This window comes from Homo sapiens, chromosome X (genome assembly GCF_000001405.40).
Source record: "Homo sapiens chromosome X, GRCh38.p14 Primary Assembly".
In the NCBI taxonomy this organism is placed as follows: Eukaryota; Metazoa; Chordata; class Mammalia; order Primates; family Hominidae; genus Homo; species Homo sapiens.
This window is the reverse complement of record NC_000023.11, coordinates 23,771,113-23,795,142: the sequence shown is the minus strand read 5'-3', so window position 1 is coordinate 23,795,142 and position 24,030 is coordinate 23,771,113. Positions and strand designations below refer to the sequence as shown.

The window sequence follows — 24,030 nt, the reverse complement described above, 5'->3', positions numbered from 1 at the left end:
TTTCAAAGAAACAGTCTTAGCCCTAAAGCACCACCAGTGTTTAATGAGGAAACACTACCATGAATGGTTAGTGAGACTAGACCATGAGTTGTAGTTCGTGAGGTATATGTGCAACCCGGCTACCCAGTTCAGATCTCAATCCTGTTGCCTCCTGGTTGTATGACATAAAATAAATTGATTTGTGCTGGGCATGGTGGCTCACGCCCTTAATCCCAGCACTTTGGGAGGCCGAGGCCAGTGGATCACTTGAGCCCAGGAGTTTAAGACCAGCCTGGGCAACATGGCAAGACCCGTCTCTGCCAAAAAAATACAAAAATTAGCCAGGAGTTTGGTGGCATGCACTTGTGGTTTCAGCTACTCAGGAGACTAAGGTGAGAAGATTAATTGAGCCTGGGAGGTTGAGGCTGCAGTGAGCTGCGATCACACCACTGCATTGCAGCCTGGGTGAGAGAACAAGACCCTGTCTCAATAAAATAAAATGCAATAAAATAAGATGGGCCTGATCCAGTGGTGTGCTGCAACCTGCTCCTTCTGGCTTGGGAGAACCTATTGTTAAATATTCAGGAATTTTGTCAGCCAGTTGCTAAAACCTTTGGTACACCCTTAGCGGATGTATTCACACCATGGAAATCAGCCAGTTCTACAAATCAAGGATACCCCACCTCCAGCTGACTTACTAGCATACCACTGGAATACCCTACAATATTGTTATGGGCATTCATGAAATAAAACCACAATGTCTGGCACATAGTAGATGCTCAGTGTAGTGTTACTATAAATATGTCACATAGAATATATTAATAATGTATATCTGCCAGGCACAGTGGCTCACGCCTGTAATCCCAGCACTTTGGGAGGCCGAGGTGGGTGGATCACCTGAGGTCAGGAGTTTGAGACCAGTCTGGCCAACATGGCGAAACCCTGTCTTTACTAAAAATACAAAAAAAGTAGTTAGGCATGGTGGCACATGTCTGTAATCCCAGCTACTCAGGAGGCTGAGACAGGAGAATCGCTTGAACCCAGGAGGCAGAGGTTACAGTGAGCCGAGATCACGCCATTGCACTCCATCCTGGGTGACAGAGTGAGACTCTGTCTCAAAAAAAAAAAAAAAAAAAAAAATCCCAGCACTTTGGGAGGCTGAGGCGGGCACATCACGAGGTCAGGAGATCGAGACCATCCTGGCTAACACAGTGAAACCCCATCCCTACTAAAACTACAAAACATTAGCCGGGTGTGGTGGCGGGCGCATGTAGTCCCAGCTACTTGGGAGGCTGAGGCAGGAGAATGGCGTGAACCCGGGAGGTGGAGCTTGCAGTGAGCCGAGATCGCGCCACTGCACTCCAGCCTGGGCGACAGAGTGAGACTCCGTCTCAAAAAATAAAAAATAAATTAAAAAAAAGATGAAGTTTGTTTTTATTCTCATAAATGAAGAAAAGCCAGAATCTAATTCAATTTCCTCTGACTCCAAGTCAAGTGTTCACCAGACCCAAACTGCCTCTGGACCACGTCTCTGCAAACAGATTTGTTGTTGTGGATGTAGCTGTTTTGAAGCCATTTTTATTGTTGCTGTTGTTATTGATTCACTGGATAAAAGAAAGCAGTATAAACAAACACTGAGGTGGAAGAAGACAGTGTTGGCCCACAGCTGGTGGAACACTTCCTCAGGAAAGCCTGGAGTGAATGCCGCCACTCTCAAGCCCCACTTTTAAAAGGATCTCCCTGCTGTGCCTGTGTTATTATCAAAACAGAGAACTGTGAACACCACCTGCTCCCAATAAATGTTGTTTCCCCTGGGAACCGCTGAAGCTCAGAATTACCTAGCCATTGATGTCAGGTCTGGGGGAGGAAATGTACTAGATGAGCCTGGGACAACTTAAAAGGGAAGAAGTTAACAAAGGCTTCTGGGGTCGAGTCCAAAGGACTCAATTCTGGAGCCAACTTGAAGAAGCTTTCACTGGACAATTAGGGAAATCTGAGCTTCAATAAGAAAAAAATGGCAAGTAATTAAGACACAGGAAATGCTAAGAGTCCTTGAGTTAATAATGATACTTCAGGCTGGGCGCGGTGGCTCATGCCTGGAATCCCAGCACTTTGGGAGGCTGAGGCGAGAGAATTGCTTGAGCTCAGGAGTCCAAGACCAGCATAGGCAACTTGGTGAAACCCCATCTGTATATTATTTTAAAACATAATAATGCTACTTGAAAGGAAAAAAGCCTAATTGGAAGATGCTGGGGGGCACTAAATTCATTCTTTTGAAAACTAGTAAATAAAAGGGAGTAATTAAGCATTTATTCTGCCTCTTCTGGGTGAACTGTGTACCTCAAGGTAACAAAATGTAAGATGGGGGAAAGTTATCTTATTTTAATAATAATAATTATTTTTTATAGAGACGGGGTCTCATTATGTTGCTCAGGCCGGTCTTGAACTCCTGGGCTCAAATGACCCTCCCACCTCGGCCTCCCAAAGTGCTAGGATTACAGGTGTGAGCCACAGCACCTGGGTGGAAGTTCTCTTTATAGAAGTATTCTAGGTGATAAATAAAGAAGGAATGATAGAATGTCACCATTTTGCAAGTCCTAATGAATCAGCAGACCTGAGTATTGCTATTAACAACGGCTAGCAGCACAGAGAAGACCAGGCATTATTTGCTTCTTGAGGGGAAAAACATCACCTATGAAATATTCTTGCCCAAAACTCAAACTTGAATCTGATCAAGTCTTATCTCTAATGCCTTTGGCACTTTTTTTTTAACCTAACAAAAGCAGGCAGTATTGTATACTGGTCATAGCAGGATTTTTCAAACTTGAGTAACACAGACTCCTTTTAAAAGAAAAAGAATTATCCGGCCGGGCACGGTGGCTCACGCCTGTAATCCCAGCACTTTGGGAGGCTGAGGCGGGCAGATTGCCTGAGGTCAGGAGTTTGAGACTAGTCTGGCCAACATGGTGAAACCCCATCTCTACTAAAAATACAAAAAAATTAGCCAGGCGTGGTGGCGTATGCCTGTAATCCCAGCTACTCGGGAGGCTGAGGCAGGGGAATCGCTTGAACCAGGGAGTTGGAGGTTGCAGTGAGCGGAGATCGCACCACTGCACTCCAGCCTGGGCGACAGAGCAAGACTCTGTCTCAAAAAAATAGAAAAAAAAAAAATTCTCACAGACCCTCAGTGGTGTTTGAAATTATTTTTATTACTATAATTATACACTAGATGTGAATATTTTGTGTTTACTGCTCCTCTATAACTGTAAAACCAGTATCCATTTATAAATATAATACAAACAAAATTACCAAACTAATAACATTCACATGAACAATGCTGATTTAATGCGATGGAAGATGTTTTTCTGTAATGAAGTTGCTGCTTGCAAAGGAACATGGTACTGACTGCTTGGGTGGATATTCTTTGATTTCAGCACTGTATGGAGTGAGATGACAATTCTGCCTTGTTTTCCAAAAACTTTTGAGAAGGTTCGTCTTTAGGCACTGTGATATGACTTCACTTGGTTTTGCTTGGCAAGAGCCAAGGTGAACAGCATAAACACAAACTGAAATGGTTGTACTAACAATTGTGACTAAGATTCAGTTATAAGCTGCAAGCTGCTTATCCAGATATCAGTGGGTCTCAACCCTGACATCACTTTTTTTTTTTTTTTTTTTTGGAGACAGAGTCTCACTCTGTTGCCCAGGCTGGGAGTGCGTGGTGTGATCTCGGCTCACTGCAAATTCCACCTCCCAGGTTCAAGCGATTCTCATGTCTCAGCCTCCCAAGTAGCTGGGTTTACAGGTGCATGCCACCACGCCTGGCTAATTTTTGTATTTTTTGTAGAGGCAGGATTTCACCATGTTGGCCAGGCTGGTCTTGAACTCCCAACCTCAAGTGATCTATCTGTCTCGGCCTCCCAAAGTGCTGGGATGACAGGCGTGAGCTGCTGCACTGGGCCCCTGGCATCACTTTGGTATATGCATAAAAACAGAAGTAAATTAGAAATCTCTTGGGCCGGGCGCGGTGGCTCATGCCTGTAATCTCAGCACTTTGGGAGGCCGAGACGGGCGGATCACGAGGTCAGGAGATCAAGACCATCCTGGCTAACACGGTGAAACCTCGTCTCTACTAAAAATACAAAAAATTAGCCAGGTGTGGTGGTGGGCGCCTGTAGTCCCAGCTACTCGGGAGGCTGAGGCAGGAGAATGGCGTGAACCCGGGAGGCGGAGCTTGCAGTGAGCCAAGATCACGCCACTACACTCCAGCCTGGGGGACAGAGTGAGACTCCATCTCAAAAAAAAAAAAAAAAGAAATCTCTCTCAGGATGGGGCATTAGTATTTTTACAGTGCTTTCTAGGCCATTCTAATGTGTAGCCCATACTGAGAATCACTGCTTTTGATTATCCAGAAAATGCTTATACTGATTATTCTTTGCAGTAGAATCACACAGAAACACCATATTCAATCATTCTTATAGAAACTGTGAGGTCCTGTGAGACTATGGCAGGAAGCCCCAGGGGTTTGAGAAATTGGTTTGGAGCTTGATTCCCAGGTCTAGTTGTGTGGCCTTGGGCAACTTAACTTCTCTTAGGTTTAGTTTCTCATTGTAAAAAGAAACTTATAATTGTACCAATCTCATACAGTCGTTGTGAGAATTAGATGAGATAATAATGTATACAAAGTGCTAAACTGAAAGCCTGGTTCCTGATTAGTGCTTAATAAATGTTAGCTCTTATCACTAGTTTTTTTCTTTTTCTTTTTTTTTTTTTTTTTTGAGACGTAATCTTGCCCTGTCGCTCAGGCTGGAATGCAGTGGCGTGATCGCGGCTCACTGCAACCTCCACCTCCCGGGTTCACGTGAGCCGAGATCGCGCCACTGCACTCCAGCCTGAGCAACAAAAGCGAAACTCTGTCTCAAAACAAACAAACAAACAAACAAACATGGCACCAGTCAAGGAAATAGAATTCTAGGAGCAGACATGGTCACCTGCAGACTCAGAGGAAGGCCATGGCTGTCACAGTCAGTGAGGAAGTTGCTTCACTCCTAGCAGGAGAAGGTGGCTGGTTTCCCAGGGCCTGGCAGTTCCATCAGTTGCTGGTGAGCAGCCACCTGCTTCAGTGAACCGTGATGAGCATCATCCATTCTAGGCCCTGCTGGGTCCCCAGTGGAAAGGAGACTCACAGGAAGGGGTAGAGTGGGTCGAAGGCATTAATAAATCATTAGGTTTCTTCTGAATTGCTTCTTCAGCATTTCTGTAAAAAAGACTCTACTTTCTTTCCCTAGAAAGACTACTGTGTGGAATCTAAGCGGTTGATGATCTTGGACTCTGGTTTTCCATGTTTATCATTGTTTGTTGTTTCTTTTCAGATAATTTCCCCGTAACATGTTTTCTTACTTGCCTGGTGACTTCAAACTTTATAGATTTGCTTTATAGTTCAGTTTTTAAAGAGGTCTCTTTGTAATTGAGTTGAGCTAGTAGTGGGCTAATGCTGTGGTGTTTCAGCTTCTTCTTTTTTTTTTTTTTTTTGAGACAGAGTCTCACACTGTTGCCCAGGCTGGAGTGCAATGGTGCAATCTCTGCTAACTGCAACCTCCACCTCCTGGGTTCAAGTGATTCTCCTGCCTCAGCCTCCTGAGTAGCTGGGATTACAGGGGCCTGCCACCACCCCGGGCTAATTTTTTGTATTTTTAGTAGAGACAGGGTTTCACTATATTGGCCATGCTGGTCTCGAACTCCTGACCTCGTGATCTGCCCGCCTTGGCCTCCCAAAGTGTTGGGATTACAGGCGTGAGCCACTGCTCCCAGTTGGCGTTTCAGCTTCTAAATTTTACAGCTGGCTGGGCGCAGGCTCATGCCTGTAATCCCAGCTCTTTGGGAGGCTGAGGGGGGAGGATCATTTGAGGCCAGGAGTTGGAGACCAGCCTGGGTGATGTAGCAAGACCTCATCTCTACAAAAAATTAAAAAAAAAAAAAAGAAAAGCTGGGCGTGGTGGTGCGTTCCTGTGGTCTAGCTACTTGGGATGCTGAGGTGGGAGGATTGCTGGAGCCCAGAAGGTCGAGGTTGCAGTAAATTGTGATTGCACCACTGCACTCCAGCCTGGGCAATGGAGTGAGAACCTGTCTCAAGAAAAAAAAAAAAAAGAAAACAACTAAAAACAAATAAAAATTAAAATAAATAAAATTTACACTTAAGGGGCTTCTTTAAAGTGGATACAAAACTTCATAAAAGCCTTCATCTTCACAACACTGGGCCTTTAAGGCTAAGTTCTAAGAAAGATGAGGAAACAAAGAGTTATATTGTAACTTGGTGGTTAATTTAATTTATTCCTATATTTAACCACAGTCAGCATGTAGTTGTTTTCCTCTAAGAGGCTCACTTTCCAAAACACAATTTGCAAAATATCTTACTTCTCCACAAGGCTCTTTGTGTTTAGTTACCCTTTCATTTTTGCCAGAGTTTCTCTTATGTAGTTACTTGCCTGCCTAATAGGGCCCCTGGTTGATCATTGACTCTGTAAGCCCATTTTCATGGCATGCTCTCTGAGCCACCAATAAATCCCAAAGCCCTCCTGTATTAAATATAATACAGGGCTACATTTTTATATGTGGCTGCCTTCTAATCTAGGAAGCCATAACAGACACTGATACAAAGGCTTGCAGGACAACATTACCTTTGACTGAGGAGCTCAGTACTGATTTGCTGGAGAACTCAGAGAGATACAGAGCATTGTTTTCAGGTATCTGACTTCTTTTGGAAAACATTTATCTTGGACATTAGTCTACAGTGGTTCTTATCAACTACTGTTTTCATTATTGTGGAAATTAGTCGGTTTAGGAATTTGGGCCAATGTCATGAATAATGAAAGGAGTTCACATATCTAGGGGGAAATGGTCTTTTTCTTTTTCATTTCAGTCCTTAAGAAAGCACTTGTTTACTTCTTTACCCCCTGGCAGTTTTAAGGGCTATTGTTTCTCTGCTCTAAAAATCCGTTGTATTAACACAGGACTACAAATTCACCCTCCAAATGAGATGTTAATTTATCTGATTTATGCTTGTGTCCAACTGGAGCTTTTCTGTTTGCAAATTTCCTGTAAAAAAATGTGTACTTTTTCAGTACACATAGGAGACCCTAATTTCAGTGATCCGCTTTACCTTCAAAATTATCTTGGTCAGGTGCCATGGCTCACACCTGTAATCCCAACACTTTGGGAGGCCAAGGCAGGAGGACCTGAGACCAGCCTGGGCAACTTAGCAAGACCCTGTCTCTACTAAAAATAAAAAAAATTAGCTGGGCATGGTGGCATGCAGCTGTAGTCCCAGTTACTTTTGGGAGGCTGAGGTGGGAAAATTGCTTGAACCCGGGAGGATAAGGCTGCAGTGAGCTGTGATCACACCACTGCACTGCAGCCTGGGCGAAAGAGTAAGACCTTGGCTCTATTAAAAAAAAAAAAAGTCTTGGCTGGGCACGGTGGCTCACGCCTGTAATCCCAGCACTTTGGGAGGCCGAGGCAGGCGGATCACGAGGTCAGGAGATCAAGACCATCCTGGCTAACACGGTGAAACCCCGTCTCCTCTAAAAAAAAAAAAAAAAAAAAAAAAATTAGCCAGGCGTGGTGGCGGGTGCCTGTAGTCCCAGCTACTCGGGAGGCTGAGGCAGGGGAATGGCGTGAACCCGGGAGGCGGAGCTTGCAGTGAGCCAAGATCGTGCCACCGCACTCCAGCCTGGGTGACAGAGCAAGACTCTTCCTCAAAAAAAAAAAAAAAAAAAAAGTCTTGTGTGGCATGAGGTTTTGGGGGACAAGATGTTCTTTCTTGATTTTCAGTGTTTCATAATCCCACCTCCACATTTTACTTGTGTAATGATGAGTTTATTCATTGAATGAGACCTTGGCTCTGTTAAAAAAAAAAATCTTATGTGGCATGAGGTTTTTAGGGACAAGATGTTTTTTCTTGATTTTCAATGTTTCATAATCCCATCTCCACATTTTACTTGTGTAATGATGGGTTTATTCATTGTGGGCCTCAGTTTCTAACTTGGTTTTCAGCTCTTGAAAATTCCGTCAGGCCAGGCGCAGTGGCTCATGCCTGTAATCCCAGCACTTTGGGAGGCCGAGGCAGGCGGATTATGAGGTCAAGAGATCGAGACCATCCTGGCTAACACAGTGAAACCCCGTCTCTACTAAAAAATACAAAAAATTAGCCGGGCATGGTGGCGGGCGCCTGTAGTCCCAGCTATTCAGGAGGCTGAGGCAGGAGAATGGTGTGAACCCAGGAGGAGGAGCTTGCAGTGAGCCGAGATCGTGCCACTGCACTCCACACTGCCCAGGCTGGGTGACAAAGCGAGACTGTCTCAAAAAAAAAAAAAAAAAAATCCATCAGATGCAGTGTATAGTGTCATCAACATAAAAAGCCGTTTTGCCGGGTGCTGTGGCTGACCCTTGTCATCCCAGCACTTCGGTAGGCTGAGGTGGGTGGATCACTTGAGGTCAGGAGTTCAAGACCAGCGTGGCCAACATGGCAAAGCCCCGTCTTTACTAAAAATACAAAAATCAGCTGGGTACGGTGGCACATGCCTATAGTCCCAGCTATTCAGGAGGCTGAGGCATGAGAATTGCTTGAACCCGGGAGGCAGACGTTGCAGTGAGCTGAGATCGTACTACTGCGCTCCAGCCTGAGCAACAGAATGAGACTGTGTCTCAAAAAAAAAAAAAAGTCATGTTTTACATGTTGCTATGTATAAAACCTTGATAGCCAACTGGTAAACTGGCTTCTATCCAGACTTTGTTAATACTAACATAACACATGACCATAAAAACTTTAAATTGGGTTAAAAACTATTTTGAGCAATTCTGTTCATCCAATGATGTTTGCGGGTCATTTTTGTCTTCAACAGCAAGAAAGATGTGTAAGAAATAAAGAACTAGTAAAAATGCTTACACCAAACAATTAAATCAAAGAGTAGTTTATTAAAAAAGAATCAAACAGAAACTCTAAGTACCAGTGTGTACATTGTACACATTTAAATGACTCACGAGAATGAAGTTTTTTTCAAATATATTAAGATCACACCACCTTGTTGTTTATCGAAAGATATTCAAGGAGAAAGATCTGACTCTCCAAACTGCATCTGAGATTGCCACTTTAAACAGACCTCATTTCAAACATGCAACAACGCCACTGGTAATAAAGCTTTGGAATGGGTGCTCATTCTATTATTTCACTACAAACAGCATAGAAAGCAAGAGAAGTTGGGAATTTATTCTAAAATAGAATGGAGGTTGTCATCTACAGCAGCACTCCTCACTCCTCTGTTGCCATTTTTAGCAAGTACTCCTTGTCGATCTTGAACAGTCTCCAACCCTCTTCACTGGACAGATCAGAAGCACCTCTTCTTTTATAGAAGTTGATGGATGGTTCATTCCATTCTGCTACCAAGAAGTGCATGCTGCTGCAGCGACACCTCATTGCAACCTATTATGAGAGAGTAAAACACACACTCAGTGACATTTCAGCCTGCTCTCAAGACCCAATTTTTATTCCATCATTAAAATAATCCAGTAAACTTACAAATTTGGAAACCAAAAACTAAGACATACCTGGCTTAGATTCTTCAGAATTTCTGATCCTATGCCAAAGCCTAAAAAGAAAGAGTACAATTTAAAAAGTCATTGTAAGCATTTATAACTCTGAACTCTCTTCAGACCCTCTGCTCCGAACTCAATCGTACCTCTATAATCACTCATCACGAAGAAGTCCTCAAGATACAATAACTTGCCAATCCACGGGTCATAGGTAAAATAGTACATGGCAAAACCAACAATGCTGTGTCCTGTAATAAGAGCATCACATGAGATGTGGAGAAGGAAAACATTCCATAAAAGTTGCAGCTGCAGAATCAGAGGCCTATCATAGGTTTTAAAAAACACACATGCATGTATTACAGAAACAAGTAGCCATGGCTGTCTCATGATTTTTATGTGAGTGCAGTCCAGGCCACTGCTGGATGATCTCACTGTTCTGAGAACATGTATTTGCAAAAAGCACACATCAGAACTCACTGAAGTCAGGCTACAACTGTGGACTGGCCACTCTGCAGTCTGCTGGAGCTCACACTCAGGAAGCGAGAACGCTTTCATTACTTGCCAGAGCAAAACTGCTATGGTTTTAAACTCAACACACACATTATTCACATCCTATTGGTATACTGGTATGTTGACTTGGGAATACGTCAGGTTTACACGGCAGTTCAGAATAGTAAATATTTGGAAGTTTACAAACTCTTGCTTCCTTAAAGGTCAGAACATCAGGCCAAAGTACAACGTTTAATTTCAGAACTTGCCTTCCAATTTACGCATTTTCAATTTGCTCTCCCCATTTGTTGAGTCAGAAGAAGCAGCATTGCCCAGAAACAGGTATTACGTAACATGCACATACTCTAAAAAGTACTCATCCCTTGTTTTCTGCTCATTTCTTCCAGCCTGAGGAACAGACGTCAGAAAAAAAGCAACCACCCAGACAACTTCCCCTTTTAGCTGAGCTGTCTTCTGACCAATCAACAGGGACCAGCCAAAAAAAAAAAAAAAAAAAAGGCATCTGACACCCTCTTAACTGGTGTCTACTATTCCAAATGGAGGCAAAGGTTTCAAATTAAACTTTCTAGCCATTTTATATTCCTTAGCAAACAGACAGGAAGCGAGTATCATAGTGGGTTTCTGATCTACCGTGTTTGAAGTGTGTGATAATAGGACCTTACCTCATTTATCATGATCATCTACTTTATTGTGTAAAGGATCTTTTAGTTACCTCCCCGCCCATCCATGTACACGGAAGGGCCATGTACATGGCGAAGCTAGAGACTGTAACCTGAAGATTGGGACAAATTAAAGAAAAAAATGTGATTTAACACAATTACAAAAACTGTTACGTTAGGGTCAAACAAGAACCATTTTATGAAACTGAATTACAACAAATGACATTATATCTAACTCTTCCGGGTCTCCACAGCACTTATACTTACTTAAGCAGCTTAAACACTTCCGAGTCTCCACAGCACTCTGATACTTACTTAAACAGCTCTTTTAACCTGCCCTAGTATTCTTAAGTGCAGCATATCTAATTTTTTTTTTTCCTCAGTAGTTTGAACACTTGCTGGCTATTTTTTCTGTCCAAGTTCTCAGTAACTTCGGCCTGTGTAGTCAGTGGTTCTACACAGCCGACACTACTTCTTACATAACACTTGGTCTCTCTGGCTTCTGGAAAGGGCGAGGGGTTACCTTCCGGAGTCCAGTGCTCTTTCGGCACTTCTGCAACCAGGCAGTGGTAAAAGGGGTGCTCTCCAAAACCATCTTCTAGCAGATCTGCAAGAAGGGGGAGCAGGGGCGGTAATGGCCTTGGCGAAGGTGACAGGCACCGAACGCTTGTCCCCCGTCCCGCCACTGTTGAATTACCTTTTTCAGTTAAGATTACTTGTTCTTCCATGTATTCATATTTAGCCAGCTCCTGGGGGGATGCACATAGGAGAGAAAAAAGTAGAAAACAAAATGAGGCTCCGGCCCGGCCAGCTCAGGGGAACGGAATGGGGCGGGCGGGCGGGGTGGCGGCCGAGCCGGGGATGGGCGCAGAAAGGGGAACAGGCTGGGCTCTCACACCGGCCGAGACCTCAAGACGTGAATCACCCCACTCTGGGAAACGGAGCCACCTCCACCCCACGCCCCGGGAGGAGCTCTGGCTCTCCGCTACCTTGATCAGCCGCAGTATGTCACTGCAGTCGGCGGCAGTGGCTGGGCGGATCACGAATTTAGCCATTTTCGTCTTTTGCTTTTCTTCCCTTTGCGGACCAGGCCCCTGTACTTGAACAGTAGGAGGAGGTGGTTCCTCATTCGTCTCCCGGGAGCGTCCTCTTCTCAGTCAGGCTGGCACCATGACCCAAGGAACCTCGGCGAGTGACGGATAAACACCAGTCGGCCCGCGACTAAGAGCTGCGCATTTGAACATTGGCCCGGCTCGGCTTTTAAGCGCAAAGAAGCCCCGCCTCGGGCCGTGAGGTGGGACCTCTCATCCAATGAGGCCGCGGCCCCGGGGCGCATCGTTTCCTCTCCCAGGCACCACCCTCTCTTCCGGGCGCCCGTGTGAACCCGGAGGACAAAAGTGGGGGCAGCGGGGCGCGCTGTGGGATTCGCTAGCGGCGCCCTCTAGTGGCGTTTCGCGGAGCCTTGGCGGAAACCCTACTGGGAGCCGGTGTGTCCCCCAGTAACATTTGCAAATGAAAGAAGGTAATTCCCTCTGCAGCCCCCCGACAAGTGACCTTGCTCTTTTCTCCTTGGCCAGTGGGAAGCAAACTCAGGAGCTCTGGCCTTAGGAGATGGGAGGAAGACTAAAGCAGCAGTTCTCAAAGTGTGATCCGGGAGACCCTGCAGATCCCAAGATCCTTTCTAGAGTTTCGGTGGGAGAACTAGTTTTAGAATTATAGACGTCATTTGCCTTTTAAACTCACAATGGAATTTTCCAGAGGCGACCTGATGTCTAATGATGACACTGCTCTTATGACCAAAGGAATGTGAGCTCGTATATTCTTTTAGAATTTCCTAAGGTAGGTTATTTGGATTTCCCAATAATCTTTTTTCTTTATACTTGTAGTTTTTAGAGTTGACGGCATATTTTTTTCTTACTTTTCTAACCTTCTTATACCTTCTTAAATCTCTAATCTTCCTTGACACTTGATCTTGACACTTTTCCTTCTGCCCGAGGTACATTCTTCATAATTTCCTTTAGTAAAGATCTGCTTTTGCCAAACGTTCTCAGTTTTGCTTATCTGAACGTGTCTTTAATTCATCTTATAATTCTTTTTTTAGACTAGTCAAGTGCAGTAGTCAGAGTAAAATAAGGAGTTTGATGTGTAACTGATTGTGAACAATCAACTGAGATAACTCACTACCTTTGGACCAGCCCATCTTAAAATTCTTGAAGGGTTTATTTCATAGTTTATAGATTTTGAGGTTCAGAAGTTTTCCTCTTTCAGCACATTGATGGTATCTGTCTTCTGACTTCGGTTGCTGTTGAAAGTTGTTGTAATCCCTACTTGATTCATCTTCTGTGCTTCATTTCCTTTAACTTTTTTTTGAAATAATTATACATTTACAGAATATGTGATGATGTCATTGCTCTGGTGACTAAAAGAATATGTGCTTGTGTATTACTGTTTTTTACAATTTTCGAAGGTAAGGTCTTTGGATTCTTTGATAAGTTTTTTTTTTTTTTTTTTTTTTTTTTTTTTTTTTTTTTTGGTAGAGATAGGGCCTCACCATCTTGCCCAGGCTGGTCTCGAACTCCTGGGCTCAAGTGCTCCTCCCACCTCGGCCTCCCAAAGTGCTGGGATTACAGGCGTGAGCCACCGTGCCCGGCCAAAACAATCACTATTCTATTAAACTAAGCAACCCAAACAGAAGATGGCTTTGGTTTTGCTTTAGCTACGCAGCTGTCACTAGCGCTTAGTCATAGCGGTCTAATTTACTGTTACCAGGAAATGTATAACAAGCTCTCCTAAGTCCTGACATTTTAGACAGAAGCAGAGGAGGAAAAGGCCTTCTGGTCATCCATGAGGTCTAGCCAACACTATCAGGAAAGACTAGTAGCTGTAATTTGGCAGTTGAGAATCAGTGGTTTTTAAAGATCTTTGAGAAAGACCTTTGAGTTTCATAATCTCCCAGGGTGACTCAGGATCCGTGGAATCCCCCTAGGGCAGGAAGGGTAACAGAGAATCTACTTCTGCTTTCTTTTCTACATACAGGATATTGCTAGCAAAGGCAGAGAATCACTTGTTGAATGTGAGGGGTGGTCTTTTGGGGATAGTCTGATCCCTCCTTCTACAGAGGCAGGTGGATCACGAGGTCAGGAGTTCGAGACCAACCTGGCCAACATGGTAAAACGCCGTGTCTACTAAAAATAATTTAAAAAAAAATTGGGCATGGTGACGAGTGCCTGTAATCCCAGCTACTCAGGAGGCGGAGGCAGGAGATTCGTTTGAACCCAGGAGGCGGAGGTTGCAGTGAGCCGAGATGGCGCCATTGCACTCCAGCCTGGGCAACAGGGCAAGACTCCGTCTCAAAAAAAAAAAAAAGAAAAAACATTGTTTCATGATCTTTTGCTTTGCTTTGTCCTTATGACAAGAAGAACCTATTCTGAAAAACAGATGGTGGCCAGGTGTGGTGTCTCATGCCTGTAAACCCAGCACTTTGGGAGGCTGAGGTGGATGAATCGCTTGAGCCCAGGAGTTTGAGACCATCCTGGGTAACATAGGGAAACTCCGTCTGTACAAAAAAAATACAAGAATTAGCTGGGTGTGGTGGCGTGTGCCTGTATCCCAGCTATTATACTTGGGAGGCTGAGGTGGGAGGATCACTTGAGCCCAGGAGGTCGAGGCTGCAGTGAGCCATGATTGCGCCACTGCACTCCAGCCTGGGTGACAGAGCGAGACCCTCTCTCAAAAAAACCGAAACAAAACAGACGGCTAAAAAAGCCCACTGTGACTGTGATTGTGGACATGAAGAAGCCTAGAACCCTAAGAAGTTTGAATGTTTTTCATGGCAGTGAATCACATTATGCTTTTCCATTGTCATGAATGGATAGATGCAACCAACATTACATATATATATATATATTATATATATATATATATATATATTTTTTTTTTTTTTTAAACAGAGTCTCACTCTATTGCCCAGGCTGGAGTGCAATGGCACAATCTCGGCTCACTGCAACCTCCGCCTCCTGGGTTCAAGTGATTCTCCTGCCTCAGCCTCCCACCTGCCACCACGCCCAGCTAATTTTATACTTTTGGTAGAGACGGGGTTTCACCATGTGGGCCAGGCTGGTCTTGAACTCCTGACTTCAGGTGATTCACCCGCTTTGGCCTCCCAAAGTGCTGGGATTGCAGGTGTGAGCCACCACGTTCAGCCATATATATATACACACACATACATATATATACACATATATAGGTATATATATATACATATATATACACATATATATGTGTGTATATATACGTATATATACAAGTATATATATATAACACAAAAATTATTATTTTTTGAGACGGAGTTTTGCTCTTGTTGCCCAGGCTGGAGTGCAATGGTGTGATCTCAGCTCACTGTAGCCTCCACCTCCTAGGTTCAAGCAATTCTCCTGCCTCAGCTTCCTGAGTAGCTGGGATTGCAGGCATGTGCCACCACGCCCTGCTAATTTTGTATTTTTAGTAGAGGTGGGGTTTCTCCATGTTGGTCAGGCTGGTCTCAAACTCCTGACCTCAGGTGATCCGCCCGCCTCGGTCTCCCAAAGTGCTGGGATTACAGATGTGAACCACTGCGCCTGGCCTATTTTTTTTTTTTTTTTTAAGAGACAGGGTCTTGCTCTGTCGCCCAGGCAGGAGTGCAGTGGCATGATTATAGCTCACTGCAGCCTTGAACTCCTGGGTTTAAGCGATCCTCCCACCTCAACCTCCTGAGTAACTCGGACCACAGGTATGTGCCACCATGCCCGGCTAATCTTTAAAATTTTTTGTAGAGATGGGAGTCTTTCTTTTCTTTCTTTCTTTCTTTTTTTGAGACAGTCTTTCTCTGTCACCCAGGCAAGCTCTACCTCCCAGGGTCAAGGGACTCTCCCACCTCAGCCTCCCAAGTAGCTAGGATTATAGGTGTGTGCCACAATACCTGGCTAATGAGATACGAGTCCTTCTGTGTTGCCCAGACTGGTTTTGAACTCCTGGCTTCAAGGGATTCTCACGCCTTAGCCTCCCAAAGTGCTGGGATTACAGGCATGAGAAATCTCATGTCCAGCATGGAATTTATATTTAAAATGGCATATACAGCTCCTGAACAGCAGGGGAAAAAATGGCGTGAGAAAAGGGATTAACTGTCTAGCATTTGGAAAACTTTTATTTGGTTAGTGAGTCGGCAGATGAACACGTCCTTACTGAGTCTTGTGCTAGGTACTTGGAGGTTTTAAAGGATGACCAAGTTTTGAAACCAGCCCTCAGGGTATACACATTACTTTTGGAGATGTGTGTGTGTGGTTTTTACAGCAGAATTTAATCTTTGTGAGAAAGAGAATCCCTGTAACTGAGGAGGACTGAGTAGGGGAAGAGTACTGGGAAGGGAATCAGCCAAGGCATTGTCTTAGGTGGTTTGCTTTAATTGTCTCATTTGATTCTTACAACTATTTTTTTTTTTTTGAGACGGAGTCTCGCTCTGTTGCCCAGGCTGGAGTGCAGTGGCATGATCTCAGCTCACTGCAACCTCTGCCTCCTGGGTTCAAGTGATTCTCCTGCCTCAGCCTCCCAAGCACCTGGGATTACAGGAATGAGCCACCACACCCAGCTAATTTTTGTATTTTTAGTAGAGATGGGGTTTCACCATATTGGCCAAGGTGGTATTGAACTCCTGACCTCAAGTGATCCACCAGCCTCGGCCTGCCAAAGTGCTAGGATTACAGGCGTCAGCCACCATGCCCAGCCTAAATTTTTTTTTTTTTTTTGAGAGGGAGTGTTGCTTTGTCACCCATGCTGAAGTGCAGTGGTGTGATCTTGGCTTACTGCAACCTCCGCCCTCTGGGTTCAAGTGATTCTCCTGCCTCACCCTCCTGAGTAGCTGGGATTACAGGCATGTGCCACCACACCCAGCTAATTATTTTTTTATTTTTTATTTTTTAGACAGTTTCACTCTTGTTGCCCAGGCTGGAGTGTAATGGCGCAATCTCGGCTCACCGTAACCTCCGCCTCCCAGGTTCGGGCAATTCTCCTGCCTCAGCCTCCCAAGTAACTGGGATTACAGGCATGTGCCACCACGCCCGGCTAATTTTGCATTCTTAGTAGAGACGGGCATTCTCCATGTCAGTCAGGCTAGTCTCAAACTCCCGACCTCAGGTGATCCACCTGCCTCGGCCTCTGAATGTGCTGGGATTACAGGTGTGAGCCACCGCACCCGGCCAATTTTTTTTTCTTTAAAATTTTAGTAGAGACGGGGTTTCGTCCTGTTGGCCAGGCTGATCTCGAACTCCTGACCTCAGGGGATCCTCCTGCCTCGGCCTCCCAAAGTGCTAGGATAACAGGCGTGAGCCACCACACCAGGCCCTATTTTTTTTTTAAACAGGGTCTTGCTCTGTTGCCCAAGCTGGAGGGCAATAATGCAAGCATGGCTCACTGCAACCACAACTCCTGGACTCAAGCAATCCTCCCATCTCAACCTCCCGAGTGGCTAGGACCACAGGCACATGCCGCCATGCCTGGCTAATCTTTAAAATTTTTTTGTAGGGATGGGATCTTGCTAAGTTGCCTAGGCTAGCCTCGAACTCCTGGCTTCAAGCACTCCTCCTGCCTCAGCCTCCCAAAGTGCTGGGATGACAGGTGTGAGCTGCCATGCCTGGCCGTTACAACTGTCTTGTGAAGTAAGTAATAGCACTGTCTTTACAGCTGGCAAAACCTGAGGCTCAACAGGGGTTACAAAATTGTTAAAGCTGGGACATGATAGAGTTATGAATGTTTATGATTTAAGACTGGCTTTGTTGGACCAAGGGCCACTGCTCTCTACCATTCTACCATGAACACTTTTTTTTTTTTTGACATAGTCTCATTCTGTCACCCAGGCTGGAGTGCAGTGGTGCGATCTTGGCTCACTGCAACCTCCGCTTCCCAGGTTCAAGCGATTCTCGTGCCTCAGCCTCCCAAGTAGCTGGATTACAGGCATGTGCCACCAGGCCCGGTTAATTTTTGTATTTTTAGTAGAGATGGGGTTTCACCATGTTGGCCCGGCTGGTCTCCAACTCCTGACCTCATGTGATCTGCCTGCCTCGGCCTCCTAAAGTGCTGGGATTACAGGCGTGAGCTACCGCGCCTGGCCCTATTTTCATTTTTTTTTTTTTTTTGGATATATACCCAGAAGTGGGATTGCTGGATCATGTTACTTAAATTTTTAACTTTTTGAGGAATCTCCCTGCTGTTTTCCATAGCAGCCGCACTGTTTTACATTCCCAACAGTGCATAAAGGTTCCAATTTCTCTACATCTACACCAGCAGTTGTCATTTTGTTTTCTGGTTATTTTTATTTTTTATTATTTTTTTTCAAGTGACAGGGTCTTGGTTTGTCATCCAGGCTAGATGGAGTGCAGTGGCATGATCCTAGCTCATTGAACCCTGAACTCCAGGGCTCAGGCAATCCTCCCACTTCAGCCTCCCAAAGCACTGGAATTACAGGTGTGAGCTACCATGCCTGGCCTTTCTTTAATTTAAAAAAATTTAAAAGTATTTTTATGTAGAGATGGGGGTCTCACTATCTTGGCCAGGCTGGTCTTGAACTCCTAGGCTCAAGTAATCCTCCTACATAGGCCTCCCAAAGTGTTGAGATTACAGGCGTGAGCCACCACACCTGGCCACCTTTCAAAAAATAGTGGCAGTTAAAATAGATGTGAGGTGATATTGTGGTTTTAATTTGCATTTCTCTGATGATTAGTGATGCTGAATGTCTTTTATATGCTTGTTGTCCGTTTATACATTTTCTTTGGAGATCTGTCTATTTAAGTCTTTCATCCATTTTTTTTTTCTTTTTGGAGACAGGGTCTTGCTCTGTCTGGAGTGCAGTGGTGCGATCTTGGCTCACTGCAGCCTCTGCCTCCCAGGTACAAGCAATTCTTCTACCTCTGCCTCCCAATTAGCTAGGATTATAGGTGCATGCCACAATGCCTGGCTAACTTTTTGTATTTTTTAAAAAGAAGGGGGTTTAGCTATGTTGGCCAGGCTGGTCTCAAACTTCTGGCCTCAAGTGATCCACCTGCCTCGGCCTCCCAAAGTGCTGGGATTATAGGTGTGAGCCACTGTGCCCAGCCTCCTTCATCCATTTTTAAATTGTGTTATTTGTTGTTTTGGGTGCTTTTTTTTTTTTTTTTTTTTGGAGATGGAGTCTAGCTCTGTTGCCCAGGCTGGAGTGCAGTGGTGCGATCTTAGCTCACTGCAACCTCTGCCTCTCAGGCTCAAGCAATTCTCCTGCCGCAGCCTCCTGAGTAGCCAGGATTATAGGCGCATGCCACCATGCCTGGCTAGTTTTTGTATTTTAGTAGAGATGGGGTTTCACCTTGTTGGCCAGCCTGGTCTTGAACTCCTGACCTCAGGTGATCCACCTGCCTCGGCCTCCCAAAGTGCTGGGATTACAGGCGTGAGCCACCGCTTCTGGCATAGCCAAAACTTATTAAGGCCTGTTTCCTACCAAGCATTGTACTTGGGGAGTGCCAAAATAAATATGGCATAGTACCTGCCCTCTGGGGACTCACAGTTCAATATTACAAGCCCTTAAGGTACTGGTTCTGGTAAGAAAGGATCCAGCCTTCTGGAGAAAAAGGACAGGTACAATTAGAACTGAGGGCAGATACACGATTCGTAACCCATTCTGTGTGACCTACCTCCTCCGGGCAGCCCTTCCTCTCTCCCCTCCTGAGACTGTGTCTAAAAGGAAGACTACTGCCTATCACTCAGCTCAGAGATCAAGCCTTTAACTCCTTATAAATACTTGGGATATCTGAAAAGTGCAGTCAACCATCCTTAGGCCTCCTAAAGTGTCAGCTCTTGGTGGGCGCCATGGCTCACACCTGTAATCCCAGCATTTTGGGAGGTCGAGTTGGGTGGATTGCTTGAGCCCAGGAGTTTGAGACCAGCCTGGTCAACATGGCAAAACCCCACCTCTACAAAAAACACAAAAATTAGCTGGACATGGTGGTACATATCTGTAGTCCCAGCTACTTGGGAGGCTGAGGTAGGAGGATCACATGACCCCTAGAACTTAGCTTCTGAAATGCCACTCCTGCACATCTTGGGTTTGGGTTTACTCCTTTTTTTTTTTTTTTTTTTTTTTTTTGAGTCAGGGTCTCACTCTGTCTCCAAGGCTGGAGTGCAGAGGTGCAATCATAGCTCGCTGCAGCCTTGAACTCCTGGACTCAAACAATCTTCTCAACTCAGCCTCCCATGTAGCTGAGACTGTAAGTATGTGCCACCTGGCTGGGCGCAGTGGCTCACACCTGTAATCCCAGCACTTTAAGAGGCTGAGGCGGGCAGATCACAAGGTCAAGAGATGGAGACCATCCTGGCCAACATGGTGAAACCCCATCTCTACTAAAAACACAAAAATTAGCCAGGCGTGATGGTGCACACCTGTCGTCCCAGCTACTTGGGAGGCTGAGGCAGGAGAAGAGCTTGAACCTGGGAGGTGGAGGTTGTAGTGAGCCAAGACTATGCCACTACACTCCAGCCTGGAGACAGAGCGAGAGTTCGTCTCAAAAAAAAAGAAAAAGTATCTGCCACCATACCCAGCTAATATTTTACTTTTTGAAGAGATAGGGTCTCACTATGTTGCCCAAGCTGGTCTCAAATTCCTGGGCTCAAGCGTTCCTCCCACCTTGGCCTCCAAAAGTGCTGGGATTACAGGTGTGGGCCACCATGCCTGGTCCACGTCTTGCGTTTATATACCTAGATTGTCCTCAGGTTTATGATTCTACACCTGATCTTATTAGAATTCCGTTGAATTTGTCTTTAATTCTCCATTTTCTCTTTGAATTCTGACCCTATCCCACAAGGATTTTTTTTCCTCCCTAATCCCTCTCCTCTCAGCCTCTTTTCAGAATCATCTGCAAACCAGTTCCATAAATGGCTTTTATTTGGCCAAGAGGCTCATATAGTCTGAGCAACAGAAAGTAAAGATAATGAATATAGAATTTTTTCTGATGCACTCTATCTTCAATTCTTTGAAAATAATCAGGCCGGGTGCAGTGGCTCATGCCTGTAATCCCAGCACTTTGGGAGGCTAAGTTGGGCAGATCACTTAAGGCCAGGGGTTTGAGACCAGCCTGGCCAACATGGTGAAAACTCGTCTTCACCAAAAATACAAAAATTAGCCAGGCATGGTGGCGCATCCCTGTAATCTCACCTACTTGGGAGGCTGAGGCACAAGAATTGCTTGAAGCCAGGAGGTGGAGGTTGCAGTGAGCTGAGATCGTGCCACTGCACTCCAGCCTGGGTGATGGAACAATTGAGAATAAAAAAAAAAAAAAAAGAAAGAAAGAATCATTAAAGGGGGGAGGGGACTAAAACAAACAAAATAATAAGTAAAGCCAATATACTAATTCAATTCCATTTAATTCATTTATTGAGCATCTACTATATGTCAGGTATTATGCTGGGTCCTGACACTACAAAGATCAAACAGGGAGAGTTTCTGACTTCTGAGAATTTGCCACCTAGAGAGAAAAAAAAACAGAAATGTAATCAAATACATTGTGATAACTGCTTCAGTGAATAATGTGCCACATGATCTACAGGAAGCAGTAAACAATTAATTCTGCCAGGATGGAGTGCTAGCGAAGTCTTGGTGACGAGGCAGCATAGTGGCCTGGAAAGCTACAGAGAGGAAGTGACATTTGTGTAAAGAGAAATGAAACTAAATTAGAGAAAAAGAAACTAAGTTATCCAAATTGAATTTTCTAGTTTCATACTAAACCTTTTATAAGGGGCTAATAAAATTTCCAAAAAATTAAAGGAAAACATGTTTATTTGTCTTTCTGTCTCACTTTATCATATATCTAAATCCAAATTAAAATGTCATTTTAATTACAGGCACTCATGAAAGGTGGCCGGGTACCACTGTATCAATGGCCCAGTTGCCCATCTCCTGGCGAGAGATTTCCCTAAGTGACCTGGAAGTGTCACTATTACCACCGCCCCACATGAATCTTGTGCTGGAGGCGACTAGAGCTGTGTGTCCCTCAGCAGAAGCAGGTGGCATAAGCAAGAGTTCCATTTTGGTTTCATTTTCAGAGGACCCCAATTGCGCAGTCTGCAAGAAATAATGTGCCTCTCAGGATGGTTCCAAGCTGAGCCCAAATCACTGAGGGAGATTCACTGCTTGCTAACATGAACTTTATTCCTGGATAAACAAGTCCCAAACCGTCTTGTCCATATGCCACCACGGTCAGGTCAAAACACACATTATCAGCTGGGTGCGGTGGCTCACGCTTGTAATCCCAGCACTTCGGGAGGCCGAGGTGGGCGGATCACTTGAGGTCAGGAGTTGGAGATCAGCCTGGCCAACATGGTGAAACCCCGTCTCTACTAAAAATACAAAAATTAGCCGGGCGTGGTGGTACGTGTCTGTAGTCCCAGGTACTCAGAAGGCTGAAGACATGAGAATCGCTTGAACCCAGGGGGCGGAGGTTGCTGAGCTGAGATCATGCCACTGCACTCGAGCCTGGACAACAGAGTGAGATCCTATGCCAAAAACAAACAATAAAAACCAACAACAAAAAAGTGCTTTAACAAGTGCGACTCTGTGAGAGACACTCTGCTAGATGCTGGGGCCATAAGAGTGAAAATAATAGTCTCTGCCCCAGAGGGGCTCAGGTCTGGCTCCTTGATACATTTCACAGATGAGGAAACTGAGGCACTGAACTTTCTGGTTTCTTTCTCTGGGCTGGTTATGCTGTACTCCCTTCACTGAGTATTTTCCTCCCTTCATGAATTTTCAAGAGTTTCACTCTTGTTGCCCAGGCTGGAGTGCAATGGCGTGATCTCGGCTCACTGCAACCTCCAACTCCCAGGTTCAAGCGATTCTCCTGCCTCAGCCTCCCGAGTAGCTGGGATTACAGGTGCCCGCCACAATGCCTGGCTAACTTTTTGTATTTTTTGTACAGACAGGGTTTCACCATGTTGGCAGGTTTGTCTCCAACTCCCGACCTCAGGTGATCCACCTACCTTGGCCTCCCAAAGTGCTGGGATTACAGGCGTGAGCCACCGCGCCCAGCTGCACAAAAGTTTTTAAGTTTGATGTAGACCCACTTGTCTATTTTTTGCTTTTGTTTCCTGCCAAGAGAGAATCTTACATCATGTGACATAATCATGGGAGTAACATCCTATCACTTATACCATATCGGTCAGAATCAAGTCACAGGTCCTGTCACCACTCGAGGGGAAGGTATCACACAAAGGCATGAACACCAGGAGGCAGGATCATGAAGGCCACCATGGAGTCTGTCAGCCACACATTTATTTATTTATTTATTTATTTATTTATTTATTTATTTATTTTTTCCTGGCTCCCAGAACTGATGCCAAACATTTAAAGGGCAGTAAAAGCCTACTTTTAATTCAACCTTTAACCAATACTTCTTTTCTTTTTGAGACAGGGCTCTCGCTCTGTCGCCCAGGCTGGAGTTCAGTGACGCGGATCTCAGCTCACTGCAACCTCTGCCTCCCGGGTTCAAGCAAGTCTCCTGCCTCAGCCTCCTGAGTACCTGGGCTGAGACTACAGGCATGCGCTACCACACCTGGATAATTTTTGTATTTTTTGGTAGAGACAGGATTTCTTTTTTTTTTTTTTTTTTGAGATGGAGTTTCGCTCTTGTTGCCCAGGCTGGAGTGCAGTGGCGTGATCTTGGCTCACTGCAACCTCCACCTCCCAGGTTCCAGCGATTCTCCTGCCTCAGCTGCCTGAGTAGCTGGGATTACAGGCACCTGCCACCACGCCCGGCTAATTTTTTGTATTTTTAGTAGAGGTGGGGTTTCACCATGTTGGCCAGGCTGGTCGCACACTCCTGACCTCAGGTGATATACCTGCTTTGGCCTCCCAGAGTGCTGGGATTACAGGCGTGAGCCACCGTACCCGGCTGAGACAGGATTTCTCTGTGTTGGCCAGGATGTTCTCAAACTCCTGGCCTCACGTGATCCGCCCATCTTGGCCCCCAAAAATGCTGGGATTACAGGCCTGAGCCACCACGTCTGGCACAGCCAAAACTTATTAAGGTCTGTTTCCTACCAAGCATTGTGCTTGGGGAGTGCCAAAATAAATATGGCATAGTACCTGCCCTCTGGGGACTCACAGTTCAATATTACAAGCCCTTAAGGTACTGGTTCTGGTAGGAAAGGATCCAGCCTTCTGGAGAAAAAGGACAGGTACAATTAGAACTGAGGGCAGATACATGATTTGTAACCCATTCTGTGTGACCTACCTCCTCCGGGC

General features: G+C 45.1%; 2 protein-coding genes and 1 long non-coding RNA gene across 10 annotated transcripts in view, besides 7 other annotated features; 1 reads left to right on the top strand and 2 right to left on the bottom strand.

Moving 5' to 3' along the window:
- SAT1 (spermidine/spermine N1-acetyltransferase 1) lies at positions 8,933 to 11,970 on the bottom strand. 2 transcript variants are annotated; one of them, NR_027783.3, is made up of 7 exons: positions 11,726 to 11,970; positions 11,434 to 11,485; positions 11,260 to 11,343; positions 10,740 to 10,849; positions 9,714 to 9,815; positions 9,583 to 9,623; positions 8,933 to 9,457 (listed from the first exon to the last, which is right to left on the bottom strand). NR_027783.3 is itself a non-coding variant. In NM_002970.4 (6 exons), the coding sequence occupies exons 1-6, from the start codon at positions 11,789 to 11,791 to the stop codon at positions 9,287 to 9,289; spliced, it is 516 nt and encodes a 171-aa protein (NP_002961.1). In that variant the 5' UTR covers positions 11,792 to 11,970; the 3' UTR covers positions 8,933 to 9,286. The 2 variants fall into 2 exon arrangements, 1 of the variants encoding a protein (NP_002961.1); NM_002970.4 differs by lacking the exon at positions 10,740 to 10,849.
- Positions 11,250 to 12,449: an enhancer, noted in NCBI's record as "BRD4-independent group 4 enhancer chrX:23800811-23802010 (GRCh37/hg19 assembly coordinates)". NCBI's record gives its function as "activates an origin of replication core promoter dependent on BRD2, P300/CBP, MED14 and CDK7 cofactors, and independent of BRD4, by STARR-seq in HCT116 cells {active_cell/tissue: HCT116}" and the evidence as "EXISTENCE:reporter gene assay evidence [ECO:0000049][PMID:35650434]".
- Positions 11,273 to 11,322: an enhancer, noted in NCBI's record as "active region_29493". NCBI's record gives its function as "activates an Ori minimal core promoter by ATAC-STARR-seq in GM12878 lymphoblastoid cells {active_cell/tissue: GM12878}" and the evidence as "EXISTENCE:reporter gene assay evidence [ECO:0000049][PMID:35858748]".
- Positions 11,533 to 11,592: a silencer, noted in NCBI's record as "silent region_20706". NCBI's record gives its function as "represses an Ori minimal core promoter by ATAC-STARR-seq in GM12878 lymphoblastoid cells {active_cell/tissue: GM12878}" and the evidence as "EXISTENCE:reporter gene assay evidence [ECO:0000049][PMID:35858748]".
- Positions 11,773 to 11,952: an enhancer, noted in NCBI's record as "active region_29492". NCBI's record gives its function as "activates an Ori minimal core promoter by ATAC-STARR-seq in GM12878 lymphoblastoid cells {active_cell/tissue: GM12878}" and the evidence as "EXISTENCE:reporter gene assay evidence [ECO:0000049][PMID:35858748]".
- On the bottom strand, positions 11,776 to 11,865 carry LOC127933115 (uncharacterized). Its single transcript, NM_001414725.1, has one exon. It carries the CDS (start codon positions 11,863 to 11,865, stop codon positions 11,776 to 11,778), a length of 90 nt encoding a protein of 29 aa, NP_001401654.1.
- Positions 12,157 to 24,030, top strand: part of SAT1-DT (SAT1 divergent transcript) — a 34,045-nt gene continuing 22,171 nt past the window's right edge. Inside the window, exons 1-3 of one of the 7 annotated variants that reach the window (NR_184061.1) lie at positions 12,157 to 12,258; positions 17,292 to 17,425; positions 21,633 to 22,322. This is a non-coding gene — a long non-coding RNA (SAT1 divergent transcript). Of the gene's footprint in view, positions 12,576 to 17,291; positions 17,426 to 21,632; positions 22,323 to 24,030 lie in introns of those variants that run through there. The other 6 variants (NR_184060.1, NR_184059.1, NR_184062.1 and 3 more) reach the window with 6 other exon arrangements.
- Positions 13,621 to 13,770: an enhancer, noted in NCBI's record as "active region_29491". NCBI's record gives its function as "activates an Ori minimal core promoter by ATAC-STARR-seq in GM12878 lymphoblastoid cells {active_cell/tissue: GM12878}" and the evidence as "EXISTENCE:reporter gene assay evidence [ECO:0000049][PMID:35858748]".
- Positions 13,621 to 14,292: a biological region, named in NCBI's record as "H3K27ac hESC enhancer GRCh37_chrX:23798968-23799606".
- Positions 13,654 to 14,292: an enhancer, noted in NCBI's record as "H3K27ac hESC enhancer chrX:23798968-23799606 (GRCh37/hg19 assembly coordinates)". NCBI's record gives its function as "activates a minimal SCP1, AML or CMV promoter by ChIP-STARR-seq in naive H9 embryonic stem cells {active_cell/tissue: H9 hESC(naive)}" and the evidence as "EXISTENCE:reporter gene assay evidence [ECO:0000049][PMID:30033119]".